This window comes from Homo sapiens, chromosome 14 (genome assembly GCF_000001405.40).
Source record: "Homo sapiens chromosome 14, GRCh38.p14 Primary Assembly".
NCBI classification, from domain to species: Eukaryota; Metazoa; Chordata; class Mammalia; order Primates; family Hominidae; genus Homo; species Homo sapiens.
In genome coordinates this window covers 45,540,391-45,564,249 of record NC_000014.9, presented here as the reverse complement: position 1 = coordinate 45,564,249, position 23,859 = coordinate 45,540,391, and the positions used below count along the sequence as shown (strand labels likewise).

The following is a 23,859-nucleotide window of genomic DNA, read 5'->3' as shown; positions in this document are numbered from 1 at the left end:
AAGTTATAAATGGTATTCTACTTTGGTGTTATTTTAGTGACTTTGTTAAATACTTAAATTGTCTTGTTCTAATTTTGTGTGAAATGAAGTTTCTTTGCTGCCGAAAGTGAGTCATACAATGGCTGTCACATATGCATTAGTGGTTCTCAAACCTTGTCATCTATTAGAATTACCTGGAAATTGACTTGGCAAAATCCAGAGGTATGTGCCCTATTCTACCTCAGTAAGCCTCATTTTTATGTCTGGATTAGCTCTCCAAGTGACTCTGAATCACATCAAAGTTTGAGAACCACTGGGTTACATAGTATTTGCTGTTGTCATTCACACCATTTGCCTGTTTGCCCCCAGATTGTCACAAGGAGTTCTGGTAAACCCTGCTGACCCTCTATTGTCCACAGGCTAAAGCTCAAGTTTCTTTAATGACACAGGATCTCTCACAGCCTATGAATCCAGTCTCATTCCCCACAGTTCCCAAACTTTTCACTGTTCCTCCATGTATGTCAGGGTTGTCCAGAGAAACAGAACCAATAAGATAAATAGAGATATATAGGAGGAAAGTTATTAAAGAAATTTGCTCATGCAACTATGGAAGCCAAGAAGTCCCACAATATGCTGTCTGCAAACTGGAGAACCAGGGAAGAAGATGGTATAATTTAGTCTGATTCCAAGTCCAAAGGCCTGAGAACCAGGAAAGCCAACGATATAACTCTCAGTCCAAGGCCACGAGAAACTGATGGGTCACTGTTGTCAAGTCCAAGAGTCTGAAGACCTGAGAACCTGGCGTTCTGATGTCCAAGAGTAGGAGAAAATGGATGTCTCATCTCCAGAAGAAAGAGAACAAATTTACTCTTCCTCCACTTTTTTGTTCTATCTGGGGCCTCAGTAGATTAGATGATACCCACCCACGTTGCTGAGGGTGACCTTTACTTCATCTACTGATTCAAACGCTAATCTCTTCTAGAAACACCTTCACAGACACACCCAGCAATAATATTTTACCACCTATCTGGGCATCCCTTAGTCCAGTTAAATTGACACAGAAAATTAACCACCACAAGACCCACCTGAAAAGACATTTTCCTTTGTCTTACATTTTTTTTGTCTTTTATTTTACTATGTTATATTTCTTTGCTATCACACCTCCTCTAGGAACCAAAAGAACAGATATTTTTCACATCTGTTATGGCACTTGGCATTTTGCATCAAGTATTTGTTTTCTATCTTACATGTATATTCCCCTACCCTCATTAATCATACTAAGAACTGCAAGCAAGAATTATACTTCATTTACATCTATAACCTTAGTGACTAGGCACAGATGGTGTTCAGCAATTGCTTATTGGATGAAAGAAACAAGTATTATAACATTTCTTCTATGCACCAATCCAATTCTTCTTTGCACACTGTGACTTAAAGATATTATCCAAAAACAAAGAAAAAATCAACTTCTCCAATGAGTGTTAGCTACATCCCTATTCTTTGACATATGGATCATTTTCAACATTTTTTTTAAAGTTATAAATTTTTTTAAATGTTGAAAATGATCCATGTCAAAGAACAGGGTTATGGCTAACACACACACACCATGGAATACTAAAGACTTATTAAAAATAAATATTTCAGGGGATTTGCAGAGCAGTGAAATTATTCTAATATGACATTATAATGCTGAATGCATGTCATTATACATTTGTCAAAACCTATACGGTGGCTCACACCTGTAATTCCAGCACTTTGGGAGGCCAAGGCGGGCAGATCATGAGGTCAGGAGATCAAGACCATCCTGGCCAACATGGGCCCTATCTCTACTAAAAATACAAAAATTAGCCAGGCTTGGCAGCACTTGCCTGTAGTCCCAGCTACTCGGGAGGCTGAAGCAGGAAAATTGCTTGAACCTGGGAGGTGGAGGCTGCAGCGAGCCAAGATCATGCCATTGCACTCCAGCCTGGGCGACAGAGTGAGACTTCATCTCAAAAAAAAAAAAAAAAAAAAAAAAAAACAACCTATAGAATTACAACATCAAGAGTGAACCAATGTAAACAATGGATTTTGGGTGATAATTTATTCTGGTGTGAGATGTTGATAGTGAAGGGGATTGTGCAAGCGTGGAGGCAGAGGTATGTAGGAACTCTCTGTGCTTTCTCCTCAATGTTGATGTGAACTTAAAACTCCTCTAAAAATAGTCTTTTTAAAAAATAAATAAATAAACATTTTAAATATGTATGTTGGAAGTATGTGTACAAATCACACTGATTTTATGGGATACAAATTGGTTCTTACACTGGAATTTATATACCATACAGTTACTTAGAAAATAAATTAATGTAAACTAAGGAAAATAAAGTTTAAATTTTACTTTTTACATTTTCATCAGAGTTGCTTAACCTCACCAAACGCAGGGAAAGAAAGGAGGAATATAGGACAGAGGAGGGGAGGAGGATGGAAAAGCAATTATGCCATATTTCTATATGTGAAAAATTCACATCAAAACCCTAAGAATCACTTTTTTAGGGAGCAGTTCTCAACCTTCATTCCATTGTTAATATGATGAAGGGCTGAAATATACTTTTTGAAGAATGTTCTGATTATTTTTGTCCATAAGGAGGGCTGTGTTTTGGGCCTAACTGGAAAAGTCACTCTTCTCAAGTAAAGAAATACAAACTTCAATATTCATTTCAATCTGGTGCTCACAGAAACCACCCATGTCCATTACATGAATAAAAGCCAAGAAAATAATTATAAGCTAGGTTGAGCCGGCTCTAAAATGCAATTGCAAAATTTACAATCTGCTCTGCAGGCCTCCAATCCTACTTAAGTAACAATTCTACGTTCACATAAGTTTTTCAGTATATTCAGAGACAATTAACAGAAATGTTACTAACATATGCTTGATAAAACATTTTAAAGATGCAAAGAGCAAAGAGTTGTCTGGATTTAACATTGAAAAAGTGACTCTTATCCAAGATCAAACTACAGACAAGATGAATATTAGAAACTAGGTGAGTGGATATGTTAGATCTTAATTTTTCTTAACATGCAATACTGGTATAAGTTATTTTTTATTTTTGGTTTACTTTTTCTCAAAACAATATAGATATTGTTAGTAGCATTTTTAATCAACCATGTGCCTCAAATATCTATATAATATATGGTAGAGAGAATCCATAGATCTGTTTATTCCTAGTTTATTTTCCTACTTGGACTGAATGGGAGAAACTATAATATTTCAAAGAGAAATAGTAACATACATGTGCACACCATTTAGAATGTACATTATAAGTGATTACATTTTCTTTCTTGCACCAATTTATAATCGCCAGTGTTTAAAATCATTTCTGTGCAGTATAGAACTGAGATAAAGCAACAAGGGGTTAGTATTTGAACTGACTTTTACTATAAGGATTTCTAAACTAGTCATTTGCTTCAAAACACAGACTGACGAACAGATTGACAAGCTTTCATCATGTCCCTCTACAAGATTCTGGCCAACTGTCTGGATGACACAGCTGTCCCACCTGGGGCAAGAGGACAAAGAAATGACCTCTCTACATGGACCTTCTTCACCCACAATGCTACAAGCAAGCTAAAATAATGAGAGAAAATGATGAAAAGTCAAGATTGAAACTTTGAGAAGATATATTAGCTTACACATAAAAGCCAAAACTGTTTAACCCAAAATTGATATTTCAGCGAAGAAATTTTAAAAAATAGAAATGTAAGATTAAAAATGCCTATTCTCAGGAAATCAATCACATTGTCTCTTATGCCACACATATAAAAATAAAGACACGATCATTCAGGTTATTTAATTGCAGATATGTACAAAATAATGCCTTCAAAGAATAATTATCTGAGCTTAGGAACAGATCCTGGAAACAGCATCTTCAACAACACCATCTGGGATACTACTACATAGTCCACACGTGGTTCTTTGCCTCCCCTCAAAACCTCTGTCACCTGCCCCAAAATTTTCTCTACTAGTCTTCCCACCATAGACAGCATGTTCTTGCAACATGTTAATACTGGGTTGATTACCTACAAGGTTCCAAGTGATGTGCAAAGTGCTAGTAATTCAAAATAAAGAGAGCATGGGCCTTCTCTGAAGGAGTTTCAAGAATGGTGGGAACATAGGAGTAGACAGTTCAGTCTGTACAAAATCAGACCCAAATGTTTAAAGCCCTGTGATAGAAGAGTGTGCATGGTTCTCTGCCACATAAATCACGTATAACTGACCCAGCACAGTGTCAGGAAAGATGTGTAGGCTAGGTACTGACAATTAGACCAGGACAAGAAAGGTGTTCCTGATAGATAGAGCGGAAAGCAAAAACAAAGACTGGCAGAGGAAGTTAGTGCCCATAGAGAGCTACCTGTGTGGCTACCAGGATGTGAAAACTTTCTATGAACTGCTCTTCCTCTGAGACCCAGTAGGGGCTTAAGGCCGCCTTGAGGACACTGCTTAGCAACAGGCGAGCATGGTAACTTAGATTTTAGTCCTCTCTGATAACATGCTAATACACATAGTCCATGAATTTGTCTGACATTTTTCAACAGGGCTCAGGAGAGGTCTTAGCACAAAAAGGTTCAGTGAAGTGAGCTGCGGGCCTGCCGCTCAGGAGGATGCCAGACATTGAGTCAGAGCATCGTGAGATGGATCTTCACTGCCAGGCTGGGATGGGGTGTGGTGGCAAAGGTCTAAACAGCCAGAGTCAGACAGCAGCTCACTAGGACCACTGCGAACCAGGGGAAGCAGGTCAGGTAAATGGTCTCCCTACATGAAAAATAAATGGTCCTGTGATGGAGCAAATCTGAACTCTGGGAGTGCAACAGTAATTTATCAGCTAAATAAATATAAAATTATAAAATAAAGACAAACAGGGGAGAGGCTCTTCCAGAGATTTTACCTCCTTTTTTTCTGATCTCATTCTGTCCCTTTTCTTCTATGTTCTTGATGAAAAGAAAAAGAAAAAAAAGAGAGAAACAAAAATCAGCCTAATTAGAAATAGTGAATTATAATACACAAATCATCTCAAACAAATAGAAGATTAAACATGTTTATGTCCAAGAAATGCACAGCAAAAGCCGGAGTTGAGGATTCAGTGCATAAGCCAGATATATTTAATGTGTCTCTTAGGACCACCTCTCCCTTTTTGCTACATTTTGCTCTTTTCCTTCTCTCTCCTTACTTCTGGCCCAAGCTAACATTTCCCATTTCTCTCTTCAATATGAAGAAAAGATAGGCAGGATTCAGAGAAAGGAGGACACAGATTAAGATGATGAGAAAGTATAGGATCTAAGAAGGCAGTCGAGGAGCAAGGACAACAGGAAAGGTTTGAAGAAGGAATAAAAGGAGGACAGTAAATAGGGAGCAGATGATAACTAGTATATCATGGTTTTATTTTTAAATATTTTAGAGATTTTTTAAAAAGGAAATGAGAAAGATGAGGGATTGAGTATAGGTAGGATCAACAAATCTCACCTTTTGTTATTTTATCTAAGCCTAAATTCAAAGAAATCACAGCCTCTTGTGGGATCAACACTCATATCCTGTAGTAAGACAGGAACAAGTATAAGCCTCCTCTACATATCAATCCTGAACAAAGCTTCACATTCCCTGATTCACTGAACTTGAGTTTGTAAAATTAGCAAGGCATAATCTGAATGTTTTTATTTCATAAAATATTTTAAGGTGGGGGGCCATTAACTATAGTTTCTACAGAAAATAAAACAATAGCAGCACTACCAGCCTTTCATCTGACCACTATTAAATTTATGTCACCTCTCAAGGCTGTAAGAGAGACCTCTTTCTCCTCCCTGGTTTATTGTACCAGACTTACACTGTACTAGTGCATGCACCTGAGCAGACACAGGAAGTCTAAGGTCTTTTTGCAGTTAATGTTTACTTTTTGCTTACTATATGCCAGGCACTCCTCTATGCATTACATATTATCTCATTTAATCCTCATCACTGACTCCATGAAGTAGGTATAATATTTATCCCTTTTAAACAAAAAGGATTCAAGAAGCTTGTCCAAGGGCACACAGCCAGTAATTGGAGGAGCCAGGATAGGACCCCCAGCAATCTATGGTCAGAGTCTTTTTCTAACTTGTAAGCTATATTGCCTCTGTCTCTGCCTAGCCTGTGAGAAGCAGTTTGTAAAAGTAATACAGCAGGAAGCATAATGGAAATTTAATCACAATTCTTTGACAATAAATTGAAGTTTATACAGCATGAAATGTTTTTCAGTTTTTTAAAAAAGAACATATTCTACTTTCTGACATATTTTAAAATAGTCCTGCCCAAAAGTAGACTAGACTCTGTAGGTACAATGTGGCAGATTTGGCCTGAGACAAACACCATTTAGCCTGCCTGTTTTTTCTGCAAATTTAAGTCTGTGGGCAAATTAGAATCTATACCTAAATGTTCAAGCTTTGAAAATCCTGGTTCATATTTTGTGATGTCTTCCCTGACTTCAGTTAAAAAAAATACAAAAAAGATAATTCCCACTCCTCCTTGTATAATTTCTTCTATTTTCATCTTTTCCTGGAAAGCTTTTTACATTTCATTCTTGTGAAACAGTCCAATTTAAATCCCAGTTTTTCATGATTCTTTGGAAGCAAGCAAATTTTCATGATCTTCAATGTTTGGCATAAGAGAAGAAAAGGCAGTGAAAATAACATTTTTTTTTATTTTTCTCAATCTGTTAAGTAAAAAGAACCTAAAAAAATCTTAACAACAAATTTAATATCTGAAGAGAAAGAATCTCTGCAGGTAGAGTGGTGAAGGTGGCAATACTTGACTTTTGGTGGCTCTCACTCACTGGCCTCTGCCTAGAATTTTTAGTCCCTTGACCTGATCCCACTTCCCTCCACTTCAAGGCCTTTCCTCAAGGGCTCCTCCCACTTAGCCCATTTTTCTTTTGTAATTATCTGCAGCTTTCTGCTTAAATGTAGTTTACAGAAGAAAGATTTTTCTGGGTGCCCTCACCCGCTCAGGACCACACCAAATAAAGCTAGTTCCCTTTCTTCATGTGTTCTTGTAAACTTGATACTGTATTTTAAATAATTAGTTAAAATGTCTTTCTCTCCACCCAGACTGTAAGTCTCATGAGCATAAATATCATTCCTGTCTTGATAAGCTCCTGACTGTGCTGTAGTGCCCAATACAGCACCTGGCCGTCGATTGATGCTCACTACAAAGTCCATCTGCATCTGCACCTGTTTGAGACATGACCCCATATTAGAAACATGTGAATACCTAAATAATAAATTTATCTGGGAAGTATAAAAAATAACAAATATTCAATTTGACTCCTACACTGGTAATGGGATGTGTTATCATATGACTACCAGTTTTTCAAAAAAGAGTATAATAAAAACCAGTTAAAAGTAACCATATTATTACTATTTAAGGCTGGGCAATACAGGGATTTTTATTTAATATTATTAAGTTTGCAAATAAAATGCATTAGTAAATTTATGTCATTAAAAATAGAGCTAAACTATTTTTAATGGCTGACTTTTCATCAGAAAATTGTATTTAAAAGTTTCAGTCACAAGTTTTACTCCCTTTGGTTGCTTGATCATCTCCTATCATTACTTCAATAGCCAGTTAGTATATATTTCCCAGCAGCACCTATGGCAAACTACTCTGAAGTTTGAGACATGAATCAACCAATTTAGAGTTAAATAACTTTTAAAATTATTTTCAAACTGACAAGTTGCAATCTTTCAGAATATAATCAACCAAGAGTAAGAAAAATGAGGAAAATGTTGAATGAATAAACAAAGCTAATTCAATAATAATGAATTATTAGAAAAGAAAAAATCAAGTATGTCTCATCTTGGGGAAAGGACGGTGATAACTAAAATCAATCTGTTTCATTATTTAATGCACTCCATTATAAGTTAGGCATGTGTTACATTTGCTTGTAAATAAAATAATTGATCTTTCTTGATTTTGAAATATACTCATTCATAAAATATCAACTAATTAACTAATTTATCAAGCCTATTATTAACTTCACACATCAATATATTCTTTCCTAATATTCTCTCAGTTAATCTCTCTTCAGTGAAATATTTAGAAGTACAAAACCTTTAATTTAAAATGTCATTCCACTATATTCTTTAAAAATCAAACTGCCTCAAATACATATACATCTATAGTTTATTAAATATCTGATTACTAAGCATCATCTGATGATCACTCTCATGAGCCTCTTTTCTGGCCATTCCTGTTCTTTTTTCTGCTTCCCAGCTATAATAACCTTTTCTGTTTCTTAAATAAGCCATATTCCTTTATACTTTGAGATCTTTGCCCTTTGCTGGAAAGGTCTTCCTCTGTTCTGTGCCTCTTTATTTCCTACTACTTTCTCAGTTTGAGGTTAGCTCAAGTGCCACTTTGTGAAGGAAGCCAGCTGTGGTTTTGCCCTCTCAAGGTGCTCCAGGATTCTCCTACAAAGTACACATAACCGTAACTTTTCAAATAATTGTCAATGGTTGCTTAACAGCTATCTCTAAGGAATCACTAGTTAAAATCACTAATGAAGAATCACCAAATTGCCTGTAATCCCAGCTACCTAGAAGGCTGACACTGGAGGAATGCTTGAGCCAGGAGTTTGAGGCTGCAGTGAGCTGCAATCATGCCACTGCACTCCAGCCTGGGAAACAAAGCACGACCCCCTTTCAAAATATATATATTTAATTAATAAATCACTAAATTAAGATGTTCTGCCTTCTCCTGGAGTTGCTTACTCTTACCCACACTTAATTTTATGGAAAGGAAACATGAGAAATGAAGCCTATATCAACAGTTTCCAATGGAAATGTTTCACTAAAATGTGTAATGCTCTACAAAATAAAATTTAACATTTCAAACTCTTTAGTTCTTTCATTATGCAGTTGATCTAGGACCAACAAGCAGGCCACTCCCAAATACCATGATTAGTTAAATATCCAGGCTAGCAGGCCTCTGCTGACCTCACTAATCCACTGCCCCAAGCTTTCCTTGTCCCTATCCTACAATGGCCAGAAAGAACATGTTCCCAGGCAGTCACCTGATTACCCTCCTGGAAAAGGGATAGTCCAATACTGTTTCAGAAGGCATTTTCTTCTATCCCACCAAAATCTTTTTATTTATATGAGAAGAGCATTCTACTGTTAATTTGGGTTAGTTTTGCCAGTGAAACAAAAAACTAGTTAACATTTCACCCTCATTTGAAGAACAAGGTACATGGTGATTGATATGGTTTGGATTTGTGTCCTAACCCAAATCTCATGTCAAACTGAATCCCCAATGTTGGAGGAGGGGCCTGGTGGGAGGTGGTTTGATGATGGGGGCAGATTTCCCCCTTGCTGTTCTCATGATAGTGAGTTCTCACAAGATCTGGTTGTTCAAAAGTGTGTGGCACCTCTCCCCACTCTCCCCACTCTTTCCTCCTCTTGCTCTTACCATGTAAGACATGCCCCCTTCCTCTTCACCTTCCACCATGATTGTAAGTTTCCTGTAGCCTCACTAGCCATGCTTCCTGTACAGTCTGCAGAATCCTGAGCCAATTAAACTTCTTTTTTTTAATAAATTACCTAGTTTGAGGTATTTCTTTACAGCAGAGTAAAAACAGACTGATAAAATGATTAAGATTTTATAAGAGGACAGGGAATAAGACTTTCCCCAAAATGGAGAAACAACATGTATTTTAGAACAACTATATTTACTTGAAGTCACTTTGTTGCTGAATGGGAATTATCTAGTGAAAGAAATTCTGAACAGAAGTCAAGCCTCAAATTCTAGTTCTGGTTAGGCCATTAGCTGTGAAACCTCAAGTAAGTTATTTAACCTACCTGTGCCTCTTCCTCTTTTCTCAAAAGTAAAAGGGATGAGCTAAATGACTATTTAGGCCCTTGTAGGTTTGTGGTTCTACTTTAATTCTTAAACTAAAATACAAACAATTTGCTTCCTTATTCCCTACTCATTTAGCAAAGAAGGAAGGCAGTGTCTTCAACACCACTTCTTCAGCAGCTTGTTATATCCACACTATTATATTTAGTTTGTTTGAGGTAGCTTAATTTAACAGCACAGCTTGTCAGAAGCACTTGCATATTTACATTGTAATGGCTCTTCAGAGCAATTATGATATCAACAGAACTATTATAATTGCAATGCCGCCATAACATCTTATAGGTATAGTAGCACTAGAGATCAAATTTTTATGGCACATACTCAAGCTACTGCACAAAGCAGCAGTTTTTCCAAACATAAACAGTTGAGTATTTTTTAAACATTTTGGATTTAAAAGACTAACAGCCACTGACATACACCAGACCATGTTTCCAGTGTGGAAAGAAGATATCTTACTTAATTTTTTTTAGCTGGGGGGGTGAAGCAAGATGGCTGAATAGAACCCTCCAACAGCTGTCCCCCAACAGGAACACCATATTGAACAAACATCCACACAACACCTTCATAAGAACCAAAAATCAGATGAGTTATCACATTGCCTGGTTTTAACATTATATCAAGGAAAGAGGCACTGAAGAGGTTAGGAAGGAAAGTCTTGCATTAATCTTGCATTAACTATACCACTTTTTCTACATCTCCCAGCAGCACCACACTGCATGAAAAGAGAATCTGTGTGTACAGGGGAAGTAGAGTGAACAGATTCTGGGACTTTGCACTGGAACTCAGCATAGCCCTGTCACAGCAGAACACAACACAGGGAAGAATTCTGTCAGTGCCCACAGAGGGAGCATTTAAACTAGCACCAGCTAAAAGGAATTCTCTGTCACAGCAGCAGGAATCCAAGTTCTGGCTAGCTACAACACCAACTAACTAAAGAGCTCTGAGGTCTTGAATATATTTGAAAGGTAGTGTGGCTACAAGGACTGCAATCTTGGGAAAGTCCAGTTGCTGCACTAGATTCACAGCCAGTGGAATTGGAATGCATGCAATCCAGCGAGACACCAGTTGTGTTAGCCAAGGAAGTGCTTGGATCACCTCTACCTCATCTCCAGGAAGTGCAGCTCAGGAGAGACTCCTTTCACTTGTAGAAAGGAGAGGGAAGAGTAAAGAGAACTTTGTCTTGCAACTTGGGTACCAGGTCAGCCACATTAAAGCACCAAGCAGATTCCTGAAGCCCCCAATTCCAAGCCCTAGCTCCTGGACAGCATTTCTAGACTTACCCTGGGCCAGAAGGGAACGTCCTGCATGGAAGGAAAGGATCCATTACTGGCAGGATTTACTACTGGCTTACTAAAGAGCTCTTAGGCTTTGAATAAAATCAGCAGTATCTAGGCAGTAGTCACCATGGGCCTTGGACAGGACCCAGAAATGTGCAGGCTTCAGGTGTGACCCACTGCAGTCCCAGCTATAGTGGCCATGAGGGTGCTTGGGTCACCTATCCCCCAACTTCAGGCACTCCAGCATGGAGAGAGAGACTCTTTCTCTTTGGGGGAATGCGAATGAAAAGAATGAAAGACTGCCAGGTAATGTGGGGAATTCTCCTCAATGGTATCGAAGCAACCCAAGGTGTAAGAGTCTGCAAGAGCCACAGTATTCCTGGCCTTGGAGCACTTCATACTGCAGATAGACCTGCAGTGACCAAAGACTTAGATCACAACACAAAATTCCCTTTGAATTTCTGGAAAGCATTCTTAAGAAGGATGAAGTCCAGACTTCAAAGATTAAATACCTAATTCTTTAATACCCAGACATTGACAATTATCCAAAAGCATAAAAAAATCCAGGAAAACATGACCTCACCAAATGAACTAAATAAGGCACCAACAACCAATCATGGAGAGACAGAGATATGTGACCTTTCAGACAGAGAATTCAAACTAGCCATTCTGAGAAAGCTCAATGAGCTTCAAGAAAACAAAGAGAAGGAATTTAGAATCCTATCAGAGGAATTTAACGGAGATTGAAATAACAAAAAAAATTCAAGCAGAAATTCTGGAGCTGGAAAACTCAATTGATACATTAAAAATGCATCAGGGTCTCTCATTAGCAGAAATGGTCAAGCAAAGGAAAGAATTAGTGATCTTGCAGGCAGTCTATTTGAAAATACACAGCCAGAGGAAACAAAAGAGAAAAGAATAAAAAAGAATTAAACACATTTCCAGGATTTAAAAAATAACTTCAAAAGGAAAATCCAATAGTTATTGGCCTGAAAGAGAAACTAGAGAGACAGATCAGGGTAGAAATGTATTCAAATAAATAATAACAGAAAATTCTCCCAACTTAAGAGAAAGATATCCAGCTACAAGAAGGTCATGGAACACCAAGCAATTTTAACCCAAAGAAGACTATTTCAAGGCATTTACTAATCAAACTCTCAAAAGTCATGGATAAGAAAGGATCCTGGCTGGAGCCAAGACGGCCGAATAGAAACAGCTCCGGTCTACAGCTCCCTGCATGAGCGACGCAGAAGACGGGTGATTTCTGCATTTCCATATGAGGTACCGGGTTCATCTCACTAGGGAGTGCCAGACAGTGGGCGCAGGACAGGGGGTGCAGCACACTGTGCGCGAGCTGAAGCAGGGTGAGGCATTGCCTCACTCGGGAAGCGCAAGGGGTCAGGAAGTTCCCTTTCCTAATCAAAGAAAGGGGTGGCAGACAGCACCTGGAAAATTAGGTCACTCCCAACCTAATACTGCGCTTTTCCGATGGGCTTAAAAAACGGCGCAGAAGGAGATTATATCCCACACATGGCTCTGAGGATCCTACACCCAAGGAGTCTCGCTGATTCCTAGCACAGCAGTCTGAGATCAAACTGCAAGGTGGCAGCGAGGCTGGGGGAGGGGCGCCTGCCATTGCCCAGGCTTGCTTAGGTAAACAAAGCAGCCCGGCAGCTCGAACTGGGTGGAGCCCACCACAGCTCAAGGAGGCCTGCCTGCCTCTGTAGGCTCCACCTCTGGGGGCAGGGCACAGACAAACAAAAAGACAGCAGTAAACTCTGCAGACTTTAATGTCCCTGTCTGACAGCTTTGAAGAGAGCAGTGGTTCTCCCAGCACGCAGCTGGAGATCTGACAATGGGCAGACTGCCTCCTCAAGTGGGTCCCTGACCCCTGACCCCCGAGCAGCCTAACTGGGAGGCACCCACCAGTAGGGGCAGACTGACACCTCACACGGCTGGCCGGGTACTCCTCTGAGATAAAACTTCCAGTGGAAGGATCAGACAGCAGCATTCGCGGTTCACGAAAATCCGCTGTTCTGCAGCCACCACTGCTGGTACCCAGGCAAACAGGGTCTGGAGTGGACCTCTAGCAAACTCCAACAGACCTGCAGCTGAGGGTCCTGTCTGTTAGAAGGAAAACTAACAAACAGAAAGGACATCCACACCAAAAACCCATCTGTACATCACCATCATCAGAGACCAAAAGTAGATAAAACCACAAAGATGGGGAAAAAACAGAGCGGAAAAACTGGAAACTCTAAAAAGCAGAGCGCCTCTCCTCCTCCAAAGGAAAGCAGCTCCTCATCAGCAACAGAACAAAGCTGGATGGAGAATGACTTTGACGAGTTGAGAGAAGAAGGCTTCAGACGATCAAATTACTCTGAGCTACAGGAGGAAACTCAAACCAAAGGCAAAGAATTTGAAAACTTTGAAAAAAATTTAGACGAATGTATAACTAGAATAACCAATACAGAGAAGTGCTTAAAGGAGATGATGGAGCTGAAAGCCAAGGCTCGAGAACTACGTGAAGAATGCAGAAGCCTCAGGAGCCGATGTGATCAACTGGAAGAAAGGGTATCAGTGATGGCAGGTGAAATGAATGAAATGAAGTGAGAAAGGAAGTTTAGAGAAAAAAGAATAAAAAGAAAAGAACAAAGCCTCCAAGAAATATGGGACTATGTGAAAAGACCAAATCTACATCTGATTGGTGTACCTGAAAGTGATGGGGAGAATGCAACCAAGTTGGAAAACACGCTGCAGGATATTATCCAGGAGAACTTCCCCAATCTAGCAAGGCAGGCCAACATTCAGATTCAGGAAATACACAGAATGCCACAAAGATACTCCTCGAGAAGAGCAACCCCAAGACACATAATTGTCAGATTCACCAAAGTTGAAATGAAGGAAAAAATGTTAAGGGCAGCCAGAGAGAAAGGTCGGGTTACCCACAAAGGGAAGCCCATCAGACTAACAGTGGATCTCTCGGCAGAAACTCTACAAGCAAGAAGAGAGTGGGGGCCAATATTCAACATTCTTAAAGAAAATAATTTTCAACCCAGAATTTCATATCCAGCCAAACTAAGCTTTGTAAGTGGAGGAGAAATAAAATACTTTACAGACAAGCAAATGCTGAGAGATTTTGTCATCACCAGGCCTGCCCTAAAAGAGGTCCTGAAGGAAGCACTAAACGTGGAAAGGAACAAGTGGTACCAGCCACTGAAAAATCATGCCAAATTGTAAAGACCATCGAGGCTAGGAAGAAACTGCATCACCTAACGAGCAAAATAACCAGCTAACATCATAATGACAGGATCAAATTCACACATAACAATATTAACTTTAAATGTAAATGGGTTCAATGCTCCAATTAAAAGACACAGACTGGCAAATTGGATAAAGAGTCAAGACCCATCAGTGTGCTGTATTCAGGAAACACATCTCATGTGCAGAGACACACATAGGCTCAAAATAAAAGGATGGAGGAAGATCTACCAAGCAAATGGAAAGCAAAAAAAGGTGGGGGTTGCAATCCTAGTCTCTGATAAAACAGACTTTAAACCAACAAAGATAAAAAGAGACAAAGAAGGCCATTACATAATGGTAAAGGGATCAATTCAACAAGAAGAGCTAACTATCCTAAATATATATGCACCCAATACAGGAGCACCCAGATTCACAAAGCAAGTCCTGAGTGACCTACAAAGAGACTTAGACTCCCACACAATAATAATGGGAGACTTTAACACCCCACTGTCAACATTAGACAGATCAACGAGACAGAAAATTAACAAGGATACTCAGGAATTGAACTCAGCTCTGCACCAAGCACACCTAATAGACATCTACAGAACTCTCCATCCTAAATCAAAAGAACATACATTTTTTTCAGCACCACACCATACCTATTCCAAAACTGACCACATACTTGGAAGTAAAGCTCTCCTCAGCAAATGTAAAAGAACAGAAATTATAACAAACTGTCTCTCAGACCACAGTGCAATCAAACTAGAACTTAGGATTCAGAAAATCACTCAAAACCGCTCAACTACATGGAAACTGAACAACCTGCTCCTGAATGACTACTGGGTACATAAAGAAATGAAGGCAGAAATGAAGATGTTCTTTGAAACCAATGAGAACAAAGACACAACATACCAGAATCTCTGGGACACATTTAAAGCAGTGTGTAGAGGGAAATTTATAGCACTAAATGCCCACAAGAGAAAGCAGGAAAGATCCAAAATTGACAGCCTAACATCACAATTAAAAGAACTAGAAAAGCAAGAGCAAACACGTTCAAAAGCTAGCAGAAGGCAAGAAATAACTAAAATCAGAGCAGAACTGAAGGAAATAGAGACACAAAAAACCCTTCAAAAAATTAATGAATCCAGGAGCTGGTTTTTTGAAAGGATCAACAAAATTCATAGACTGCTAGCAAGACTAATAAAGAAGAAAAGAGAAAAGAATCAAATAGACGCAATACAAAATGATAAAGGGGATATCACCACTGATCCCATAGAAATACAAACTACCATCAGAGAATACTACAAACACCTCTACGCAAATAAACTAGAAAATCTAGAAGAAACGGATAAATTCCTCGACACATACACCCTCCCAACACTAAACCAGGAAGAAGTTGAATCTCTGAATAGACCAATAACAGGATCTGAAATTGAGGCAATAATCAATAGCTTACCAACCAAAAAGAGTCCAGGACCAGATGGATTCACAGCCGAATTCTACCAGAGGTACAAGGAGGAACTGGTACCATTCCTTCTGAAACTATTCCAATCAATAGAAAAAGAGGGAATCCTCCCTAACTCATTTTATGAGGCCAGCATCATCCTGATACCAAAGCCAGGCAGAGACACAACGAAAAAAGAGAATTTTAGACCAATATCCTTGATGAACATTGATGCAAAAATCCTCAGTAAAATACTGGCAAACTGAATCCAGCAGAACATCAAAAAGCTTATCCAGCATGATCAACTCAGCTTCATCCCTGGGATGCAAGGCTGGTTCAACAAATGCAAATCAATAAATGTAATCCAGCATATAAACAGAACCAAAGACAAAAACCACATGATTATCTCAATAGATGCAGAAAAGGCCTTTGACAAAATTCAACAACCCTTCATGCTAAAAACTCTCAATAAATTAGGTATTCATGGGACGTATCTCAAAATAATAAGAGCTATCTATGACAAACCCATAGCCAATATCATACTGAATGGGCAAAAACTGGAAGCATTCCCTTTGAAAACTGGCACAAGACAGGGATGCCCTCTCTCACCACTCCTATTCAACATAGTGTTGGAAGTTCTGGCCAGGGCAATCAGGCAGGAGAAGGAAATAAAGGGTATTCAATTAGGAAAAGAGGAAGTCAAATTGTCCCTGTTTGCAGATGACATGATTGTATATCTAGAAAACCCCATTGTCTCAGCCCAAAATCTCCTTAAGCTGATAAGCAACTTCGGCAAAGTCTCAGGATACAAAATCAATGTGCAAAAATCACAAGCATTCTTATACAGCAATAACAGACAAACAGAGAGCCAAATCATGAGTGAACTCCCATTCACAATTGCTTCAAAGAGAATAAAATACTTAGGAATCCAACTTACAAGGGATGTGAAGGACCTCTTCAAGGAGAATTACAAACCACTGCTCAATGAAATAAGAGAGGATACAAAGAAATGGAAGAACATTCCATGCTCATGGGTAGGAAGAATCAATATTGTGAAAATGGCCATACTGCCCAAGGTAATTTATAGATTCAATGCCATCCCCATCAAGCTACCAATGCCTTTCTTCACAGAATTGGAAAAAGCTACTTTAAAGTTCATATGGAACCAAAAAAGAGCCCGCATCGCCAAGTCAATCCTAAGCCAAAAGAACAAAGCTGGAGGCATCACACTACCTGACTTCAAACTATACTACAAGGCTACAGTAACCAAAACAGCACGGTACTGGTACCAAAACAGAGATATAGATCAATGGAACAGAACAGAGCCCTCAGAAATAACGCTGCATATCTACAACTATCTGATCTTTGACAAACCTGAGAAAAATAAGCAATGGGGAAAGGATTCCCTATTTAATAAATGGTGCTGGGAAAACTGGCTAGCCATATGTAGAAAGCTGAAACTGGATCCCTTCCTTACACCTTATACAAAAATTAATTCAAGATGGATTAAAGACTTACATGTTAGACCTAAAACCATAAAAACCCTAGAAGAAAACCTAGGCATTACCATTCAGGACATAGGCATGGGCAAGGACTTCATGTCTAAAACACCAAAAGCAATGGCAACAAAAGCCAAAATTGAAAAATGGGATCTAATTAAACTAAAGAACTTCTGCACAGCAAAAGAAACTACCATCAAAGTGAACAGGCAACCTACAGAATGGGAGAACATTTTCGCAACCTACTCATCTGATAAAGGACTAATATCCAGAATCTACAATGAACTCAAACAAATTTACAAGAAAAAAACAAACAACCCCATCAAAAAGTGGGTGAAGGACATGAACAGACACTTCTCAAAAAGTGGTAAAAGACATTTATGCAGCCAACAGACACATGAAAAAATGCTCATCATCACTGGCCATCAGAGAAATGCAAATCAAAACCACAATGAGATACCATCTCACACCAGTTAGAATGGCAATCATTAAAAAGTCAGGAAACAACAGGTGCTGGAGAGGATGTGGAGAAATAGGAACACTTTTACACTGTTGGTGGGACTCTAAACTAGTTCAACCATTGTGGAAGTCAGTGTGGCGATTCTTCAGGGATCTAGAACTAGAAATACCATTTGACCCAGCCATCCCATTACTGGGTATATACCCAAAGGACTATAAATCATGCTGCTATAAAGACACATGCACACGTATGTTTACTGCGGCACTATTCACAATAGCAAAGACTTGGAACCAACCCAAATGTCCAACAACGATAGACTGGATTAAGAAAATGTGGCACATATACACCATGGAATACTATGCAGCCATAAAAAATGATGAGTTCATGTCCTTTGTAGAGACATGGATGAAATTGGAAATCATCATTCTCAGTAAACTATCGCAAGAACAAAAAACCAAACACCGCATATCCTCACTCATAGGTGGGAACTGAAGAATGAGAACACATGGACACAGGAAGGGGAACATCACACTCTGGGGACTGTTGTGGGGTGGGGGGAGGGACGAGGGATAGCTTTAGGCGATATGCCTAATGCTAAATGACGACTTAATGGGTGCAGCACACCAGCATGGCACATGTATACATATGTAACTAACCTGCACATTGTGCACATGTACCCTAAAACTTAAAGTATAATAATAATAATTAAAAAAATAAAAAAAGATGTAAAACATTCAAAATAAAAAAAAAAAAGAAAGGATCCTAAAGTAGCAAGAGAAAGAAACAAATAACATACAAATGAGCTTCAATATATCTGGCAGCAGACTTCTCAGCAGAAAACTTATGGTCCAGGAAAGAATGGCATGACATATTCAAAGTGCTAGAATATTCTATTTTTGTCTCCATAATTCCGATTACCAGTGAGCTTTGCACCTTCAGGTAATTTCTTATTGCTCATTAACATAATTTTCTTTCAGACTGATAAACTCTCTTTAGCATTTCTTATAGGACATGTCCTATAAGTTTGAGATATCAAAATATACCACCTGAGAAAATCATATTCACTAAAAGAAAGACAAAAAGGAGGAGAAGACCATAAAATAACCAGAAAACAAATAACAAAATGAGAGGAGTAATTCCTTACTTATCAATAACAACACTGAATGTAAATGGACTAAACTAACCAATCAAAGGACATAGAGTGGCTGGATAATTTTTTTAATAAAAGACCCAACAATCTATAGCCTACAAGAAACATAGTTTGCCTACCAAGACACACAGATTGAAATAAAGAAATAAAAAAAGATATTTCATGCCAACAGAAACCAAAAAAGAGCAGGGTTATCTATGTTTATGAGACAAAATAGATTTCACAAAGAAAACTGAGACAGAGAAGCTTATTATATAATGATAAAGCAGTCAGTTCAACAAAAGGTTGAATTTCTTTATAAATTAGGAAACACAATCATGACAAAAGGGAAAGCAGGCATCTTCTTCAAAGGCAGCAGGAGAGAGAGAGAGAGAGCACCCTCTGAAGCAACGGCCAGAGCAGTACCTTGGCCCGTTTCAGCCACAGCTGGGATGAAGGGCACCAAGCCCCAAGGCTGCACTAAGCATCAAGGGCCTAGGCCTGGATTATGAAACAGTTTTTTCCTCCTATACCTCCAGGTCAGTTTTTTCCTCCTATGCCTCCAGGTCTCTGATGGCCTGAAGACATTTTCCCCATTGTCTTGGTAATTAACATTCAATTTCTCATTACTTATGCAAATTTCTGCAGCTGGCTTAAATTTCTCCCCAGAATATAGGTTTTTCTTTTCTATCTCATCATCAGGCTGCAAATTTTCCAAACTTTTATGTTCTGTTTCCCTTTTAAACATAAGTTCCAATTTCAAACTCTTTCTCTGTGAATATGTACAACTGAATACTTTCAGAATAATCCAGGTCACGTCTTGAATACTTTGCTACTTAGAAATGTCTTCCTCCAGATACCCTAAATCATCTCACTCAAGTTGTTCAAAGTTCCACAGATTTCTAGGGCAGGGGCAAAATGCCACAAGTCACTCTACTAAAGCATAGCATAAGTGACTTTCACTCTGGTTTCCAAGAAATTCTTCATCTCCATCTGAGACCACTCAGCCTGGACTTCATTGTTCGTATCACTATCAGCATTTTGGTCAAAACCATTCAACAGGTCTTTAAGAAGCTCCAAACTTTCCCACATCTTCCTGTCTTCTTCTGAGCCATCCAAACTGTTCCAACCTCTGCCTGTTACCCAGTTCCAAAGTCACTTCCACATTTTCTTTTATTATTATTATTATTATTATTATTATACTTTAAGTTTTAGGGTACATGTGCACAACGTGCAGGTTTGTTACATATGTATACATGTGCCATGTTGGTGTGTTGCACCCATTAACTCATCATTTAGCATTAGGTATATCTCCTAATGCTATCCCTCCCCCCACCCCACAACAGTCCCCGGTGTGTGATGTTCCCCTGCCTGTGTCCATGTGTTCTCATTGTTCAATTCCCACCTATGAGTGAGAACATGCGGTGTTTGGTTTTTTGTCCTTGCGATAGTTTGCTGAGAATGATAGTTTCCAGCTTCATCCATGTCCCTACAAAGGACATGAACTCATCATTTTTTATGGCTGCATAGTATTCCATGGTGTATATGTGCCACATTTTCTTAACATTTTCAAGTATCTTCATAGCAGTGCCCACTACCTCAGTGCCAATTTACTGTATTAGTTCATTCTCACACTGCTATAAAGACACTATCCAGGACTGGGTAATTTATAAAGAAAGGATATTTAATTGACTTACAGTTTTGTCAATTCCTAGTGACAAATTTTCTTTATAAATTTGGAAACACAATCATGACAAAAGGGAAAGCAGGCATCTTCTTCAAAGGCAGCAGGAGAGAGAGTGTGAGCGAGTGAAGAAGGAACTGTCACACACTTATAAAACCAATCAGATCTTGTGAGAACTCACTCACTACCACAACAACAGCATAGGGGAAACTGCCCCCATGATCCAATCGCTTCCCACCAGGTCCCTCCCTTGACATGTGGGGATTACAGGTCTCTCCCCTTGACACATGGGGATTACAATTCAAGATGAGATTTGGATGGGGACACAGAGCCAAACCATATCAGGAATTATGGAAACTATACAAACACATGGAAATTAAACAATATGCTCTTGAATGACCAGTGGGTCGATGAAGAAATTAAGAAGAAAATTTAAAAATTTCTTGGAACAAATGAAAATAGAAATGCAGCATACCAAAACCTATAAGATACAGCAGAAGCGTAGTAAGAGGACAGTTTATATCAATAAACACCTACATTAAAAAGTAGGAAACATCAAATAAACAACCTAACAATGTATCTTGAAGAAATAAAAAAAAAAACAAAGCAAAGCAAACTCAAAATTAGTAGAAAAAAAGAAATTGTAACAAAGATGAGAGCAGAAATAAATGATATTAAAAAAATACAAAAGATCAATGAAACAAAAAGTTGATTTTAAAAAAGATAAACAAAATAAAACACTTTAGCCAGTCTTAGAAAAAAAGAAGACCCAAATAAATAAAATCAAAGATGAAAAAGGAGACACATACATATATGTTGCATATGTCTATGTATATGTACATAGACTAAGATTGAACCATAAAGAAATCCAATACCTGAACAGGCTAATAACAAGTAATGAGATTGAAGTCATAATACATGTTTTGCCAAACATTTATTGGAAAGACTAATACAAATTCTACTCAAACTATTCCAAAATACTGAAGAAGAGGTAATCATTCCAAACTTATTCACCGAGGCTAGTATTACCCTGATACCAAAACCAGACAAAGACACATTTAAAAAAAAAAGAAAACTATAGATCAGTATCCCTGATGAACATAGATGCAAATATTCTCAACAAAATACTAGTAAACCAAATTCATCAACACAGTAAAAGGACCAGTCATCATAACCAAGTGGGATTTATTCCAGGAATGCAAAAATGGTTCAACATAGACAAATCAACAAATGTGGTACTTCACATCAACAGTATGAAGGACAAAAACCATATGATTATCTTAACTAATGCTGAAAAAGCATTTGATAAAATCCAACAATCCTTCATGATAAAAACTGTCAAAAAAACCTGTTATAAAAGAAACATACCTCAACACAATAAAAGCCATATATGACAGACCCACATACTGAATGGGGAAAAACTAAAAGCCTTTTTTCTAAGATCTGAAACAAGACAAGGATGCCCTCTATCACCATTGTTATTCAGCATTGTACTGAAAGTCCTAGCTATAGCAATTGGAGAGGAGAAAGAAAAAAAAGACATCCAAATTGAAATAGAAGAAGTGAAATTATCCTTGTTTTCAGCTGACAGGATCTTTATCTAGAAAAACCTAAAGACCACCAAAAAACTATTAGAAGTGATAAACAAATCTGGTAAAGTTGGAGAATACAAAATCAACATACAAAAATCAGTAGCATTTCTATATGGCAACAGTGAACTATTAAAAAAAGAAATCCAAAAAGTAATGCCATTTGCATTAGCTACAAATAAAATCAAATTCTTAAGAATAAACTTAACCAAGGAAGTGAAAAATCTCTACAATGAAAACTATAAAACTTGAATAAAGAAATTAAAGAATACACAAAAATATGCAAAGATATTCCATGTTCATAGATTAGAAAAATTAATATTGTTAAAATATCCATACTTCCCAAAGCAATCTATAGATTCACTGCAATCTCTATCAAAATACCAATGAAATTCCTAACAGAAATAGATAAAATAAAACTAAAATTTATATGAAACCACAAAAAGCCCAGAATAGCCAGAGCCATTCTGAGCAAAAAGTATAAAATTGGATGAATCACAGTACCTGACTTCAAATTATACTACAGAGCCATAGTAGTCAAAACAGCATGGTACTGGCATTTTGTGATAGACAAATGGAACAGAATAGAGAGCCTAGAAATAAATCCACACATTTACAGTGTGCTCATTTTCAACAAAAGTGCCAAGAACATATATTGGGGTAAAACAGTGTCTTCTATCAATGGTCCTTGGAACACTGGCTATCCATATGAGAATAATGAAACTAGACACCTATGTCTTGCCATATACCAAAATCAAATTGAAATAGATTAAAGAGAAATATAAGCCCTGAAACTATGAAACTACTAGAATAAAACATTGGGAAATTTATCTAGGACATTTGACTGGGCAAAAAGTTCTTGAGTAAAACCTCAGAAGCACAGGCAACCAAAGCAAAAATGGACAAATGAGATCACATCAAGCTAAAAAGCTTCTGCACAGCAAAGGACAAATATCAGCAAAGTGAAGAGACAACACAGAATGAGAGAAAATATTTGCAAACTACTCATCTGACAAGGGATTAATAACCAGAATACATAAAGAGCTCAAACAACTCTATAGGAAAAAACTAATAATCTGATTTTAAAATGGGCTAAGATATAAATAGAAATTTCTTAAAAGAAGACATATAAATGGCAACCAGTTTTTTTTTAATTTTTAATTTCCATAGGTTTTTGGGGAACAGATGGTATTTGGTTAGATGAGTAAGTTCTTTAGCGGTGATTTGTGAGATTTTGGTGCACCCATCTCCTGAGCAATATACACTCAACCCTATTTGTAGTCTTTTATCCCTCATCCCCGTTTCACCCTTTTACCCCGAATCCCCAAAGTTCATTATGTCATTCTTATGCCTTTGCATCCACTTATATCATTATAATTATGATCATTATATCATTATATCACCCACTTGTATCATTCTTATACCTTAGCTCCCAGTTATGAGTGAGAACATATGATGTTTGGTTCTCCATTCCTGAGTTACTTCACTTCGAATAATAGTCTCCAACCCCATCCAGGTTGCTGCAAATGCCATTAATTCATTCCATCTTGTGGCTGAGTAGTATGCCATCATATATACATATACCACAGTTTATTCACTCACAACCAGGTATATTTTTTTAAATGCTCAACATCAT

The 23,859-nt window shown here is 38.0% G+C and overlaps 1 long non-coding RNA gene across 1 annotated transcript in view, besides 1 other annotated feature; it reads right to left on the bottom strand.

Moving 5' to 3' along the window:
* LOC105370476 (uncharacterized) overlaps positions 1-23,859 on the bottom strand; it is a 166,495-nt gene that overhangs the window by 5,598 nt on the left and 137,038 nt on the right. The gene's annotated exons all lie outside the window — the stretch shown is intronic.
* Positions 11,632-12,414: an enhancer, noted in NCBI's record as "NANOG-H3K27ac hESC enhancer chr14:46021039-46021821 (GRCh37/hg19 assembly coordinates)". NCBI's record gives its function as "activates a minimal SCP1, AML or CMV promoter by ChIP-STARR-seq in primed H9 embryonic stem cells {active_cell/tissue: H9 hESC(primed)}" and the evidence as "EXISTENCE:reporter gene assay evidence [ECO:0000049][PMID:30033119]".